The following is a 16975-nucleotide window of genomic DNA, read 5'->3' on the forward strand; positions in this document are numbered from 1 at the left end:
AAATTAATCCCCAGTGCAACAGTGTTGGGAGGTGGGGCCTAATAAGTGGTGATTATGATATGAGGGCTCTGTCCACATGAAGGGGGTTGGTTAGTTATTGTGAGAATGGGCTTCTTATAAAGTGAGTTTGGCCCCTCCTGCTCTCTCACACATGCTCTCTTGCCCTTCCGCCATGGGATAACATAGTAAGAGGGTCCTTGCCAGATGGAGGCCCTTGACCTAGGACTTCTTGGCCCTCAGAACTGTAAGAAATAACTTAAAAATAGTAATAACAAATTGCCCAGTCTGTGGTATTCTGTTATAGCAGTGGCTCATACCTGTAATCCCAGCACTCTGGGAGGCCAAGGCGGGTGGGTCACTTAAGGTCAAGAATTCGAGACCAGCCTGGCCAACATGGTGAAACCCCATCTCTACTAAAAATACGAAAATTAGCCAGGCATGGTGGCACACACCTGTAACCCCAGCTACTCGAGAGGCTGAGGCAGGAGAATTGCTTGAACCCAGGAACCCAGGAGGCAGAGATTGCAGTGGGCTGAGATCACACCATTGCACTCCAACCTGGGCAATAGAGCGAGACTCCATCTCCAAAAAAAAAAAAAAAAAAAAAAAGGCAGGGTGCGGTGGCTCATGTCTGTAATCCCAGCACTTTGGGAGGCCGAGGTGGGCGGATCACAAGGTCAGGAGTTCAAGACCAGCCTGACCAACATGGTGAAACCTTGTCTCTACTAAAAATACAAAAATTAGCTGGGCGTGGTGGTGTGCACCTGTAGTCCCAGCTACTCACGAGGCTGAGGCAGAAGAATCACTTGAATCTTGCGGGGCAGAAGTTGCAGTGAGTCGAGATTGCACCACTGCACTCCAGCCTGGGAGACAGAGCAAAACTCTGTTTAAAAAAAAAAAAAAAAAAAAAAATGGAATAAAGGACAGGTCTAGTTTTGTTTAAACAGGCCCCAGGAATAAAGACCTGTTTTTAACTGTAGGCTGCTTTTAAATTAAGTTCAGTTTTGAGAATTGAATTCATTCAGATTAACCGTAGAGACCTCAAGGTTACTAGATTCCTAAAAGCTACTCACCTCCAGAAGACCCAAATCGGGTAAGCCTGGAAGTTGACAAAGCAACAAAAGTGGATCCTGACTCTAGAAATCCAAAGCAGCTCTTGACCCTCTAGACAACTTCAGTTTCCTCCAGGACTCACATGGAAGCAAGCCAAGTAGTTATTACATATCTAATTCAGTGTTTGAGTGAAATATGAGAGTGTTGTATTGGGTTAAAGGGCATAGGAAATCCTTTTCGTCACATCACGATGGCTCTTCATTTTATATTCTTTGAATAAGGAAGATTCCAGAAGTTACCTTCTCAACACAAATCACAATGGCTTCCACGATGGGCAGTGATGCTTGAGAAATGTCATGTTGCTTAACACTCAGACTTTTTGAACTATGCATCAATGTATTTGTGTAAAATACGACTGTAAGGGCCCTTCATGCAAAGATGTCTGCAAACATTTTCATTTTCTTGTAAATAATTACTGGAAAGGGAAAAAAGCAATTAGAAAGAAGGACTTCAGCATCCTAAGTTCTTGTGCCCCGTCCAAATCTGCTTTCTAAAGTCTCTATGGGAAAACCAGAAATATCATTTTAATGGCCTGGGGGGGTTCTTGCATTATAAGTATACAGAGCAGTATGTTGAGAAAGCTGAGTGCTCTGAATCACCCAATGTACTTTATACATTTATTTAGAGAAGAATAGTTTAGTTTTAATTATTTATGATAATAGCTCTCAGTGCACTAGTAAATGTCCTTTGGTGCATATTTTGTAAAAGTAATGAAGTCTTTGTAATGTGAGCTTTCTCTTCAGCTATAAGCTGCCCTCTTTTTTTGCTGAAGAACCAGGGCAGCAGAATGTGTTTGTGTTTGTGTATAAGTGTGTGTATAAATTACCAGGCTTGAGGTTTAGCAAAATGCTATTGAACGTAATTGAGGATTTCTAAGAATTATTCCTGGATGTACTCACTGTCCCATCTCCCAATCATCCTCTCTTACAGCCATAGCCTTAGCAACTTGGCCAGAGAAGGAATCACCATGAGGGAGATGAGCAGCCTGTCTGAATATTTGTTTTTGTTTTCTTTCAGTGTTTTTCTTATTGTTCTTCCTCTGTGGCAATAATCTATGATATTGTAATAAAACACATAGCTAGAAAGAATATAAATCTATTGTATTTCCCTCTGGCCTAAGTTATATATACTATAGCTTATGGATAAGTCTTATTATGTCAAGGAATCTTCTCTTTTTTTCTTTTCTTTTTTTTTTTTTTTTGAGACAGAGTCTTGCTTTGTCCCCAGGCTGGCGTGCAGTGGTGTGATCTCGGCTCACAGCAACCTCTGCCTCCTGGGTTCAAGCTATTCTCCTGTCTCAGCCTCCTGCATAGCTGGGATTACAGGCACGCACCACCATGACTGGCTAATTTTTGTATTTTTAGTAGAGATGGGGTTTCACCATGTTGGCAAGGATGGTCTCGATCTCTTGACCTCATGATCCGCCCACCTCAGCCTCCCAAACTGCTGGGATTACAGGCGTGAAGCACCGCGCCCAGCGTAATTGCCTTATTTTCAAATGAGATCCTAAACTAATCATAGTCATTCAGACAGAATAATAGTTCTGGCAATGTCAAAATTATCCACCTACAGATTAGACATGGCTTCTGTGTGAGTGAAACATACTGACCAGCTTTGCTTCTTGTCTCTAGAAAAAAGAAATAAAGAGCCTTTCAGACATTAGATTTGAAGTAAATGGGCCACCCATGAATTAAAACCAATGGAAGAAATCAGATAATCTGGATGGAAATCTGGGGGCTGATTCTTGTGGGACAAATGCAGTGCCTGGTTCCTGAAGCAACAATGCCAGAAGGGACATGTGGGGAACATGTCAGACTGAAGGCACCCTGCTCCATGTGGATGGGCACAAAATCGGCGGCAACTTCTAAAATGCGTGGCAATGCCACCTGCCCATCAAGGTTAGAATGTCAGTTCACAGATGCAACAGAAAAGACAAGATTGATCATGAAAATTGCTTTAACACTTCTTTTCTTTTTCTTTCTTTCTTTTCTTTTTTTGAGACAGAGTCTCACTCTGTCGCCCAGGCGGGAGTGCAGCGGCACAATCTCGGCTCACTGCAACCTCTGCCTCCCAGGTTCAAGCTAATTCTCCTGCCTCAGCCTCCTGAGTAGCTGGGATTACAGGCACATCCCACCATGCCCAGCTAATTTTTGTATTTTTAGTAGAGATGGGATTTCACGCCGGGCGCGGTGGCTTACGCCTGTGATCCCAGCTCTCAGGGAGGCAAGAGGCAGGAGGATAGCTTGAGCCCAGGAGTTCGAGACCTGCCTGGGCAATATAGTGAGACCCCATTCTCCAGAAAAAGGAAAAAAAAAAAAAAAAAAAAGAAAAAAAGAGATGGGATTTCACCACTTTGGCCAGGCTGGTCTCGAACTCCTAACCTCAGGTGATTCTCATGCCTTGGCCTCCCAAAGTGCTGGGATTATAGGTGTGAGCCATTGCACCCAGCTTTAACATTTCTATCTACAAAGTTTTCTTGTTAAATGGAAGAGGACTATTGCAGTCATCTATTGCCATGTAACAGATATCCCAAAACTTAATGGCTTAAACCATACCATTTTATTTATTTGCTTACAATTCATGTTAAGATTCATTAGTTCATCATGAGATCCCTCCACCAAGAAAAAAACAAACTGTATTGATCACCTTTGGAGGATCCTAGGGAAACAACTGGCTAATTTAAAATCTGCTTAGATGCTTTTGTAGTTCATAGGCGTGGTAATTGGGTGTTCACGTGCATGTGTGAGATGTGTCACGCTCCAGCCTTGTTACAACATCAGCATGTTATCCATCTAACATGAAAACAATAAAATAAAACAAAATAAAATTGGGTTAATAGAGAGAATTAAGAATTTATCTTGTCTTTACATATACTCTACCTGCCAGCATTGAAGAAACATTTGTCGACAAAAGTATTTCAGATAAAAAAGAAGCAATTTTTAAAATCACCATTTGTAACCCCTAATTAGCTGCTGACCCTAGGCAATGACTATCAATGTCTGATAATGTCATAAGAAGAGACTTTTGAACATTGTATGTGCCTCCTGATAGGTGTGTGCAACATCACCCATTAAGTTGTGTTGCCAACAATAACAACCAAGTGTTGAATCTGATCAGGCCTTTAGTTCTAACTACCATTTCACAGGAAATAACAAGGAACACTGTAACACATTTTCTTAAAAAAACAGTATAAGGATGGAATCAGCAAAATCTAGACTATGGGAAACTCAGTAGGTCAAAAAACCAAGTTTCTTCAATAAAAAAATTTAAAAATAAAACAGAGAGTGATGGGGTGGATGGTAAATGGGTGCAGATGTGGGGAGAAAGTTAAAATACTTAGCAATCAGTTGCAATGCATGGGCCTTATTTGGATCCAAACAAAAACTGTAAAAGAAGAAGAAAGCCAGGCACAGTGGATCACACCTGTAATCCCAGAACTTTAAAAGGCCAAGTGGATCACTTGAGCTCAGGAGTTCAAGACCAGCCTAGGCACCATGGTAAAACCCTGTCTGTACAAAAAGTACAAAAATTAGCCAGGCATGGTGGTGCATACCTGTAGTCCCGGCTACTCAGGGAGCTGAAGTGGGAGAGTCTCTTCAGCCCGGGAGGTGGAGGATGCATTGAGCCATGATCATGCCACTGCACTCTAGCCTGGGTAACAGAGCAAGACCCTGTCTCAAGAAAGGAAAAAAAAAAGAAGAAAAAGAAAAATATAATAAGAAGTCATTTGGGGAAGTGTGAACAATGACCAGATATTTGATGATATTAAGGAATTATTGTTAATTTTTTTAGATGTGATGGTAACATTATAATTTTGCTTAAAAAAAAAAGAGTTTTTGTTTGGGTGCAGTGGCTCGCATCTGTAATTCCAGCACTTTGGGAGGCTGAGGCAGGAGGACTGTTTGAGCCCAGGAGTTCAAGGTTATAGTGAGTTATGATCCTGCCACTGCACTCCAGCCTGGGTGACACAGGAAAGCCCTGTCTCAAAAAATAGTTCTTATCTTTTAGACATAATACTAAAATATATACAAGGAAATGATGTATTATCTAGAATTTTTTCTAAATAATCAGGGGTGAGATTGTAGGTGGGTATATAAGTATATAGGTGAAACAAAAGTGGCTATTTATTGTTAGCTGAAGTTAGGCAACAGATACGTTGGGAAGTTCATACTATTATCTCTATTTGAGTGTGTTTGAGAAGTTCCATAGTATTTTTTTAATCAATGGAAATGACTGAAAGAAATGAAATATCATAGCTTCCAAACCAGAATGTGGAGAAAAGGAAAGAGAGGGCAGGGAGAAAAAACAAGAAAACTTTATTAGTCCTGTAGAAGGCAAGAAAGAAGAAAAAAAAAGTTACCCAAATAGTCATCTCCTAGTAAATGAGACCCCTTTTCCCAAATCTTACACAGTCATGTTTCAACTGCTCATATCTGGTCTCTGTAGTGAAAGTGCATTGAGCTAGGACAAGAGGTTCTAATCCTGGCCCTCTCTGGGCTAAGTTGTGCCTTGCATGGCTCCTCAGGCTATATTAAGAGCCTGGACATCCTTTGACCATTGGCAGCTTTGTGACAGCTGGCTGGGGCTCGAGATTCAGTTTGCTGCCACAGAAGAAAGCAAAGCCAACTGGGTCACATGAGGAAGTAATCTGAGCCCTTAGCTCCAACCTGTAAACTAAGTTTCATCTTGCCTGCTGCTGTGTGGCTGTCAGGGATAACCTGATGCCACATGACCAAAAGAAAAAGCCAACCTCTAAGACCCCCTTGCCGAGAACGTTGTCTTTTACAAATTCTTGAAATATGATTTGGCGAGTTTCTAGTAAGAGTGACTGGCAACTGACTTGAATGAAAATAAATGTCAGAGAAGGGGGAAATGGGATTGGAGGAATGAATACCACAAAGATGGCTGCATCTTAGTGACTGTATTTTTAGAGGGGATGGGAATCTTGAAGAGGAAGAAAATCTTTCTTCCCTCTCTCAAACATTGTTATGAATACATGTTACTTATTTTTTTCTTCCTTCCAGGTGCAACCCTTTCAGCTGCTTTCTAGTTATTTCCCCATATGTTCTCTATTTTTTTTTCTTTTTTGCCCTTTGATTTCTTTTTTCAAAGCAGAACTCTACTTATTGCCATCTACTAAGCACTGCATTTCTCCCCATATCTCTCCCTGGATGTGCAGCTTTCTTATCTCATTCCCCATCTCCACTCCTGTTCCCCTTGCCTCTTTGTCAAATCTTGTGCTGCTTTTTTGTTGTTGTTGTTAATCGCTCCTCTGCCTCTGCTTTTCCTCTGAATTTCTATACCTTAGTCACTCTGAAACTCAGTGCCTTGTTCTCTTCTTGCTCTTGTCCCCTCTAGTGCATATAACGTCCATGAAAGGATTATGCAGCCAGAAGCTCTCAGAGTAAGGTCAGAGTGTTCTGATGTGGAAAAGCTTCTATAGTGACTGCACTTTATTGGTGGAGGTTGTTGTCACTTTTTATCCTCCTAGAGCATTTACTAGGTATAATGTTGGGATCTTTCTTTGTTTTGCTCATAAAAATCTCTTAGGGCTCTGAAAGTCAGGTTGCTTTTTCCTTCCTAACTTCTGTCTCAATTTTATTATCACCTTAAGTGGCATCTGGTTGACAATGAGAAGAAAGAATTCAGAGAAAGAAATAGAATGGAGGAAAAAATGACCTGTGACACCCACCAAAATCCAGCTTGGGCTTAGCTAATGTTTTTCTTGAGAAATTGTGGTACACCAACACGGTAATACTCTTTTATAACGATGGAGATCTAGAACTGTTCTAAAAAGGAAACAAACAAAAAAAACTATATGAAAGAAAATTTTTAAAAAATTAGTATACCAAGTTGGTAGATTCACAAATTATTTACTTGGATAACAATACCTAAACTTACTGTATCAGCACCATCCAAAATATCTTCTATATATTCACCCATAGTTTTCTCAACAGATTTATGGGCCAGGTCCTATTATAAGCCCAATTCTGCAGGTGAGAAAAATGAGGCACAGAGAGGTTAACTCTTTTGTCCATGGTTACACAGTTAGTAAGTAGTAGTCTCAGATCTGATCCCAAGCCATCTGGCTACAGAGTTCACGGAATTGGCTGCTGTAGCATTTTGAATTTTTATAGAAATTCTTATTTGCTTTCATTAATAAAGCTCTAAATCAAGTTTAGCCCTCCAGTGTTTCAGTAAGAAGATGAGTTTCAGGATTTGGACCACCTAAAAATTTTGTATAAACCTCATCACATTCGACAGACTTCTACCTGATATTCTTAGGTAACAGGCAGTGGGAGGCCAGAGGGAAGCCAGAGGAGAAGGTGTCCAATAATAAGAAAGTCTTCAGGCTGGGCGCAGTGGCTCACGCCTGTAATCCCAGCACTTTGGGAGTCTGAGGTGGGCAGATCACAAGGTCAGGAGTTTGAGATCAGCCTGACCAACAGGTGAAACCCCGTCTCTACTAAAAATACAAAAATTAGCCAGGCGTGGTGGCGCATGCCTGTAATCCCAGCTATTCAGGATCGCGCCACTGCACTCCAGCCTGGGTGACAGAGCGAGACTCTGTCTGAAAAAAAAAAAAAAAGAAGAAAGCCTTCAGTTCCTTTGTTTGTTTGTTTTTGAGATGGAGTCTCAAAATGGTAGCCCAGGCTGGAGTGCAGTGGCATGATCTTGGCTCACTGCAACCTCTGCCTCCTGGATTCAAGCGATTCTCCTGCCTCACCCTCCCAAGTAGCTGAGGTTACAGGCACCTGCCACCACACCGGGCTAACTTTTTTTGTATTCTTTTAGTAAAGACAGTGCCATGTTGGCTGGGCTGGTCTCGAACTCCTGACCTCAAATGAGCTGCCTGCCTCAGCCTCCCAAAGTGCTGGGGTTACAGGTGTGAGCCACTGTGACTAGCCAAAAGCCTTCAGTTCTTAAAGTGCTTTTTTTTTTGAGGCAGAGTCTCACTCTGTCGCCCAGGCTGGGGTGCAGTGGCATGCTCACTGCAACCTCCGCCTCCCGGGTTCAAGCGATTTTCCTGCCTCAGCCTCCCGAGTAGTTGGGATTACAGGTGCGCACCATCATGCCTGACTAATTTTTGCATTTTTTGTAAAGACGGGATTTCACCATGTTGGCCAAGCTGGTCTCAAACTCCTGACCTCAAGTGATCCTCCCCCATTGGCCTCCCAAAGTGCTGGGATTACAGGTGTGAGCCACTGTGCCTGGCCCAGTTCTTAAAGTACTTTAAGTAGTTAGTTGTTCCTAATTATCCACCACTAGACATAATGCTAATATATCCTTATAGCATAATCTTTGTTTATATCCATGATTCTAAAAAAGTTATAATGAAGACAGTTTAAAAATAAGTCATATAATTTTCACCAGTATCAGGAAGGAATATTATAAGATCATTGTTAAATGATAGTTTTCAGAGAAAATTATTTTATATGAAAAATTCTAAGTAGAACCATTGCATAGAATACAATTCAAAAATTTTAAAAAGAACAAGAAGAGACTCAATAAGGATAAATTTTAATGTAACCAGAAATCAGACTGTATATGCTGGAAGTAATATGTGATTTTAAAATTCAACATGCATGGCCGGGCATGGTGGTTCTCGCCTGTAATCCCAGCACTTTGGGAGGCCGAGGTGGGCAAATCATAAGGTCAGGGGTTTGAGACTAGCCTGGCCAACGTGGTGAAACCCCATCTCTCCTAAAAATACAAAAAATTAGCTGGGCATGGTGGCATGTGGCCATAATCCCAGCCACTCGGGAGGCTGAGGCAGGAGAAACACTTGAACCCTGGAGGCAGAGGTTGCAGTGAGCTGAGACTGTACCACTGCACTCCAGCCCAGGTAACAGTGCGAGACTCCATCTGAAAACAAAAACAAATCAACATGCACAACTTAATTTAAAGGAATTTTAATATACAATGATATAGGCCGGGTGCGGTGGCTCAAACCTGTAATCCCAGCACTTTGGGAGGCCGAGGCGGGCAGATCACAAGGTCAGGAGAGCGAGACCATCCTGGCTAACACGATGAAACACCGTCTCTACTAAAAATACAAAAAAAAAAAAAAAAATTAGCCGGGCATGGTGGCGGGCGCCTGCAGTCCTAGCTACTTGGCAGGCTGAGGCAGGAAAGTGGCATGAACCTGGGAGGTGGAGCTGGCAGTGAGCCAAGATCGCGCCACTGCACTCTAGCCTGGGCAACAGAGCAAGAAAGACTCCATCTCAAAAAAAAAATATATATATATATCTATATATATATATATATATAGAGAGAGAGAGAGAGAACGATATAAAAAAATAGAAAGATGTAGTTGTGACATGAATGTGCTATTCATGTATTGCAGGCGAATTGTCAAGATGATATGGTAAATTTACATATGCTGGTGGTAGCAAGTATAAAACCCAGATATATAAGTCAAGGTAGGAAATATCTATCATTTGAGAAGGAATTATCTACAAAATGTAAGATTTTGACCAGGAGCCAAGAAAAAGGCTGTTGAGCCTCACTGTTAGCTCTTGCTCCTATGAGACTACAGAAAAGCTATCTCTCTTCTGTTGTTTACAGTGAATTGTCTATAATCTTTTAATAGTTGGCAATGAATTTGCTGGAATAGCTGAGTGATTATCAATTCTTATACTCTACAGATCAATACTCCATCATTAAACTTTGGACATAGCTTTCAGTTGGCTGGGAGGAAGAAGCCAACCAAGTTGCTTTTCCAAGATGTGTCATAGCAGGCAGTGTGAGAGACTAAGCTGAGATTTACCGTATGGCTAAATATCCTTTGGACTCCAAAGTTTTGAAGATTACTGCAGGACATTGAAGGTGACTGAGACTCACACCTTCAGTAACTAGTTTCTGGTCTGCCCTATTCATATCAATGTATCATATCAATGATATGTAGCCTGGAGGTTTTGATAACTGACTTGGAAATTCTGCCATAGTCTCATCCTTTTATTCCCCTTACTAATAGAGGGTTGAATTAGTGGCATTGTGGTACCAAATTCTCTGGATGCATTTGTGCAAGTGTGTACACATGCATACTCATTACCTCTTTATTTTCTTTGTGTGTGTGTGTGTGTGTGTGTGTGAGACGAAGTCTTGCTCTGTCACCGAGGCTGGAGTGCAGTGGTGTGATCTCAGCTCACTGCAACCTCCGCCTCCTGGGTTCAAGCGATTCTCCTGCCTCAGCCTCCCGAGTAGCTAGGACTACAGGCGCGTGCCACCACAACCGGCTAATTTTTTGTATTTTTAGTAGAGATGGGGTTTCACCATGTTGGCCAGGCTGGTCTGGAACTCCTGACTTCAACCACCACGTCCAGCCCATACCCATTATTTCTATTTCATATCATAAACATTCTGAAAATTTATTTTTCTTTTATGTACCCGTCAACTTTTAAAGTTTAATTTTTTAATCTTTAAATAATTTACATGATTCAAATTTTAAAAAATATAAATGTATACACTAAGAAGTCTTTTTCTCCTCTCTGTTCCCATTCTAACCAATCAGTTCTTATTTCTGCAAACAACCAATGTTGTTAGATTTTCTATATCCTTCCAGACATATTTAAAGTATATATATATAAGAAAAAATATATAGCTATGTTATTGTTTTTTTTTTTCCTTTTACTCAGGTGGCAGTCTATTTTGCATACTTTAGAGCTTACTTTTATCAGATAAAACTAAATTTTATTATGTTCAGATGCTTTATCTATCCTGGTTATCTCTCTTGTCCTACTCTCCCATTTCTCACTCCCAATATGCATTTACTCTGCACTTTTGTATGCTAGAAATACATTAGTCCATTCCCTGATTAGTTTAGTTTAGGTGTTTTTGTTTGTTTATTTGTTTGTTTGTTTTTGACGGAGTCTTGCTCTGTTGCCCAGGCTAGAGTGCAGTGGCACAATCTTGGCTCACCACAACCTCTGCCTCCTGGGTTCAAGCCATTCTCCTGCCTCAGCCTCCTGAGTAGCTGGGATTACAGGCATGTGCCACCACACCCTGCTAATTTTTGTATTTTTAGTAGAGACGGGGTTTCACCATGTTGACCAGGCTGGTCATGAAATCCTGACCTCAAGTGGTCCTCCTGCTCCCACTTCCCAAAGTGCTGGGATTACAGGCATGAGCCACTGCGTCTGGCCTAGTTTAGTTTTTATTGTGCTGAAATCTTGCATATGTTTAGCCACTCAATATTGTCTGTTTAAATGGAAACCCCCAAATAATGTGATATACACATGTACATCTTTTTTAGTACAGAATCTAGTATAATACCAAGAATAATTATGAGTTTAATAAATGCCTTTTTATGACACTGATTTCTTTTCTTTTCTTTTTTTTTCTTTTTTTTGAGATGGAATCTCACTCTGTCACCCAGGCTGGAGTGCAGTGGTGTGATCTCGGTTCACTGCAATCTCCGTCTCCCAGGTTCAAGTGATTCTTGTGCCTCAGCCTCCTGAGTAGCTGGGATTACAGGCATGTACCAACACACCCAGCTAATTTTTGTATTTTTAGTAGAGATGGGGTTTCACCACATTGGCAAGCCTGGTCTCAAACCCCTGGCCTGAAGTGATCTGCCCACCTCGGCCTCCCAGAGTGCTGGGATTACAGGTGTGAGCCACTGCACCTGGCCATATGACACTGATTTTTTATTTATTTGCCACCCACTTAGTGTTCTGAAACCAGTTCTATCTACTTTGGTGACTATTCAATTAAATTTTAGCTTGTTAATATACATGGATTGGCCAGATACTGGTAGAAGAGATATAGGACCATGCCTTTATTTAGTCAGTATGTTATAAAAAGAGATACAAAATAATTATAAATCTCTGAATTCTTTAGAATTCTATCTACGAACTTTATACAATCCAAATCAAAATACCAGTTAGATTTTTTTAGGACATTAAAAATACAGTTAGGCCAAGCATGGTGGCACATGCCTGTAATCTCAGCACTTTGGGAGGCTGAAGTGGGAGGACTGCTTGAGCCCAAGAGTTCAAGACCAGCCTGGGCAACATAGTGAAACCTCATCTCTAATAATAAACAAACAAAAAAAGCATAAATAATAAAAATATATATAATTGTATAAAAAATGAAATATATAATATGTCATTATTTGTGTAAGTTAATAATATCTGAGCACAAAATCATATACATTTTGTACCTACAACCAAAAGAATACACATTAGAATGGTTTCCTGGGGCTTGTGGGGAGGGAAAAAGAATCAAAATAGAGTATTGGGGCAAAGGAAAATAAGTAAGTAGAATAAAAGCAGATACTTACACAATCCATTGATGGTCATGGACCATGAACTGAGAAATATAATTAAGTCATCTTTCTATGCCCAGGCAAGGGGCAGGGATGGGAGGTAGATAGCAGAGACTTTATGTCTTTGGGTGAGCCTAAATTGATGGGACCCTTCCACATAAGATTTGAGACACTAGACCCAGATACCTTTAAAAAATATATCTCTTACAGCCTGAATCTGAATACTGGAGACTGACTGATTACAGATTCTTTCTTAGAATAGAAAGGGGTCACGAAGAGCTCAAAGAACAAATGAAAACAGACAAAAAATCTGCCCTCATTGATGGGAGGATGTCAGAGGTACACAGGAGCCAGCTGTAGAACTTCCAGTAGCCAATGGGAAAACAATTTAAGCAACTAAATAACAAAGTAGTATTGGACTATATAACTCAACATATCAGAGGTCGGGCATGGTGGCTCACGCCTGTAATCCCAGCACTTTGGGAGGCCGAGGTGGGTGGATCACGAGGTCAGGAGTTTGAGACCAGCCTGGCCAAGATGGTGAAATCCCATCTCTACTAAAAATAAAAAAAAATTAGCTGGACATGGTGGCACGCACCTGTAATCCCAGCTACTTGGGAGGCTGAGGTAGGAGAATCGCTTGAACCTGGGAGGCAGAGGTTGCAGTGAGCCAGAGGTTGCAGTGAGCCAAGATTGAGCCATTGCACTCCAGCCTGGGTGACAGTGCGAGTCTCTGTCTCAAAAAAACAAAAAACTCAACATATCAGTATTCATGAGTCCATACTGATATAAATAAATTATTGAATAAATTAATAAATTGAGGAGAACAAACAAATCTTTCATGCTCTCCTGCAGAAGAATGACAAATAATGTATGTAGATACTCCATCCATAATGAAGGGAGCATAACTCTGCACTCCTTGAGTGTGGGCTGCACAAGGAGTGGGGAGCTATGCTTCCCAAAGAGTAGAATGCGCAAAATGGGGATAAGGAGTAGCCGCCCGCTGGGGAAACCAGACGCTCCCTCAGCCAGGTGATCAAGGGTCACATCAGCAGTAATAAATCATGTTAATAGATGTGCCTTTGTGTGATGTGATGAAAATGGCACTGTATCTCAGTGATCTTCCCAACACCACAGAACCCCAGGGTGGCTCATGCCTGTAATCCCAACACTCTGAGAGGTCGAGATGAGAGGATCCCTTGAGCCCAAGAGTTCGATACTAGCCTGGGCAACATGGCAAAACCCCATCTCTACAAAAAAGACAAAAACTAGCCAGGCCATGGTGGCACGTGCCTGTGGTCCCAGCAACTCAGGAGGCTGAGATGGGTAGATCACTTCAACCCAGAAGGTCGAGGCTGCAGTGAGCCACGATTGTGCCACTGCACTCCAGGATGGGCAACACACTGAGACTCTGTCTCAAAAAAAAAAAAAAAGAAAGAAAGAAAGAAAGAAAAAACAGAAATTCCTTTTTTTTTTTTGAGACAGAGTTTTGCTCTTGTTGCCCAGGCTGGAGTGCAAAGGCGCAATCTCGGCTCACCACAACCTCTGCCTCTAGGTTCAGGCAATTCTCCTGCCCCAGCCTCCCGAGTAGCTGGGATTACAGGCATGTGCCACCACGCCTGGCTAATTTTGTATTTTTTTAGTAGATATGGGGTTTCTCCATGTTGGTCAGGCTGGTCTCGAACTCCCGACCTCAGGTGATCTGCCTTTCTAGGCCTCCCAAAGTGCTGGGATTACAGGCATGAGCCACCACACCCGGCTGAAAAAACAGAAATTCTGAGACTATCATATCCAAGAGGTGGCTCAGGAGACACGAAAATATAATGTACTATCCTGAAACCAAAAAAAGACATTAGGTTAAAAAGTAAGGATATCTAAATAAGTATGGATTTTAGATATTAATCATGTTTTAATATTTGTCATTAATGGTAATATACAATAATAGGTGAAACTGAGGGAGGTGGTAGAAGTGATATGGGAACTTTCTCTACTGTCTTAATTTTTCTATAAATCTAAAACTGTTCTCAAAAAAAGGGTCATCACAAAAAAAAGGGGGGGTCATGAAGTCAGTGGTCTATGAAACCCTGTAAAAATGTGACCCATCCCCCTCTATGTATAACAAAAAAGTTTTCTTTCTTGTCTTCCAGCTGAGGAAGTATTTGATTGGTTTGGTTGGTTTTTGCTAAACACAGAAGAGGTCTTTGCTCAGAGACACAGAAAGTGTTTCTCTTCTCTTCCTTTGGTGTTATGAGTGAGCTTGCCAAACTCGAAGGCAGATGTCTTAGCACCTTCCAGTGTTAATATAACTATGTATCTGGTTGGAACCTGCCCCGAGGCTCCCAAGGCAGCTAATAAATGGCCAGTAATGAACACTGATGGCCAGAGGCTTCTAACCATTAGGACAGTGGACCCATTCTTTCCCAGTCCTCAAAGTTCAACCACATGCAACTAGAAAGATAGTTTTAACCAATCCAAAGTAATGTTGGTTACAGAATCTCTTAGCACCAGTGTTCAGACAGGATTACACGTTGGGGTTTTCATCTTCTGATCCTAGCATGGTACCTAACACTCGGTAGGCACTTAACACATGTTCATTAAGTAAATGGCAATGTGTTCCTAGAGTTCAGGGCAGAATTTTAATATTTCGTATATGGGTCTAATAAAGCAAAGAGCCGTATAGCCTGGCTGGCAAAATAATTATCACCTAAAAAATTTATTAGGCATTTTCTAATTCACGAAATTTATCCGTTATTAGTTCAACTACTATAAGTTTCAAGCCTCTGAATAGCAGAACAGTTCCTGTTATGGGAATGTTGGGTCATATGTCACTTGAAAGGTATCTTTCCCTAAGTATCTATTAATGTGCTAGCGTGGACTCAAAACTGGCCTATCAGGAATATTTAATGTTTCTCTCATGAGGAACCTTGAAGCAGTCGAATTTTATAATTTTTTTGTGTATTTTTTTATTAGTTACAGAACCTTGCCAATTCACTCAAGCTAATCTGCAAGTCCTGTCATTATCACAAAAAAGTACTCTGGCAAATTAACCCCATTTCTCAATGCAGGCTTAATAGGAAAGAGAGCTATTTTGAAAGCTCAGGGGATTACAAGCACTCTTTACAAAACGTACTGCAACACACTAGACTGTGAGATACAGCCTTAAATAGTTAAACAAGTCCATCGACATAAACTGGGTACATTTCCATCCTTGATTCTTCCCTATTGACTTCATTACTTAAGATGTACCTGACTGGAAGCCGGAAAAGGCCTCTTGGGAGTGAGCAGCCCTGGTGGAGGGGAGCAGAGGGAGCCCCTTATTTATGAGGGAGAGAAGACATCATTGGAAACGTATAAGATTTGAACAACAAGCTTCACTGGAATATTATTGAGAGAGCAATACTTGGTTATATATAATCAGGGGTTTTGTAATGAATCTGTGGAAAGGTAACCAGTAATTGCTTAGTATAATCTAAAACTCTGAAAACCTTGTGATAAAATAGCTACAAAGAAATCAAATCAAAACACAGTCTCAGATGTTTTGATCATTGAAGTTGGAACAATTGGGATAGCCTTGAAAGCTTATCTCTAAAATAAGTTCTTACAGAACTCCGTGAGCAGAGACCAAAAGCAGACTTTTAGAAGAACTAACTTCAAAAAAGATTCCCTATATAATAAGAGTCATTTTAAACTGAAATGATCAAGACCTCCTAGGGATTCTAGGTCATGCCTAAACCATCACGGTCAAGTTGGACATGTATAGAGACCTGGTACTCTCACTCTTCCACCTTCGGCCCCACTTATATCCCAGGCTGGGCATTGAAGTTCCCCATCAGTCAGTTGGACGGGGGTACAGGACAGGCCCCTTTAAACGCAGAACTCCCTCAATACTGCAGAACACTGGAAGAGCTCTTGTTCAAGTGGGTAAGTGCAGCCTGAGTGTCTGGTGAGATCAAACCTGAAGAGAGCGTGAGATAAGGAGAGAGTTGAGTCATTAGTCATCTCTTTTAACTAACTCTCTGAAGTTGGCTGGCTTCACACTAGACCTGGTGATTAATGGTAAAGAGATAGCTCTTGCAATTCAACTTCTGTAAGTAGAAAGAAATTTAAAGCTTCCCCTGAGCATTCGCTTCCTCTTCGAATGCTTCAAAACAAATCTCAGCATCAGTAGGCTGATGCCAGTTCTCATCATGCCCCACAGGCCTTGATGAGGGAGACGGAGAGAGCCAGGTGTGCCCTATTGAACAGGCCCCAATGGTTCTCTGCCTTTTCATAGCAATCTCCTAAAGGGAGAACCAGAGTCATCAAATCTCAGGACAAAATGGCAGCCCTAAGAGGGCAATCCACTGTCAGAAAGCATGCATAAGCTATTATTCTGAAGAGAAGAAGATTATTTCCATTCACTATAGGGCTAGTCTGAAGTTTGCAAAGAAGTCCTTTTCATTCAATTATCCCTTGAAGGAAAGTATGTATGTAAAAGTTAAGAAAATTCAATATCAAAAATAGTTTTTGTTTTGGCTTTGAAATTTTTCTTAATATGTAAGCAAAATTCTTAGTTCTGGAGTTGCAGTTACTCAGTTATCAAAAATGATACAG

The 16975-nt window shown here is 41.1% G+C and overlaps 1 non-coding gene across 1 annotated transcript; it reads left to right on the forward strand.

Annotated features, from left to right (window-relative positions):
- Nucleotides 1-3807: 3807 nt before the first annotated feature.
- LOC124900905 (small nucleolar RNA U13) lies at nt 3808-3911 on the forward strand. Its single transcript, XR_007058547.1, has one exon. It is a non-coding gene; the product is annotated as a small nucleolar RNA U13 (small nucleolar RNA).
- The last annotated feature ends 13064 nt before the right edge of the window (nt 3912-16975 follow it).

The sequence above is a fragment of the Homo sapiens genome, chromosome 4 (genome assembly GCF_000001405.40).
Source record: "Homo sapiens chromosome 4, GRCh38.p14 Primary Assembly".
In the NCBI taxonomy this organism is placed as follows: Eukaryota; Metazoa; Chordata; class Mammalia; order Primates; family Hominidae; genus Homo; species Homo sapiens.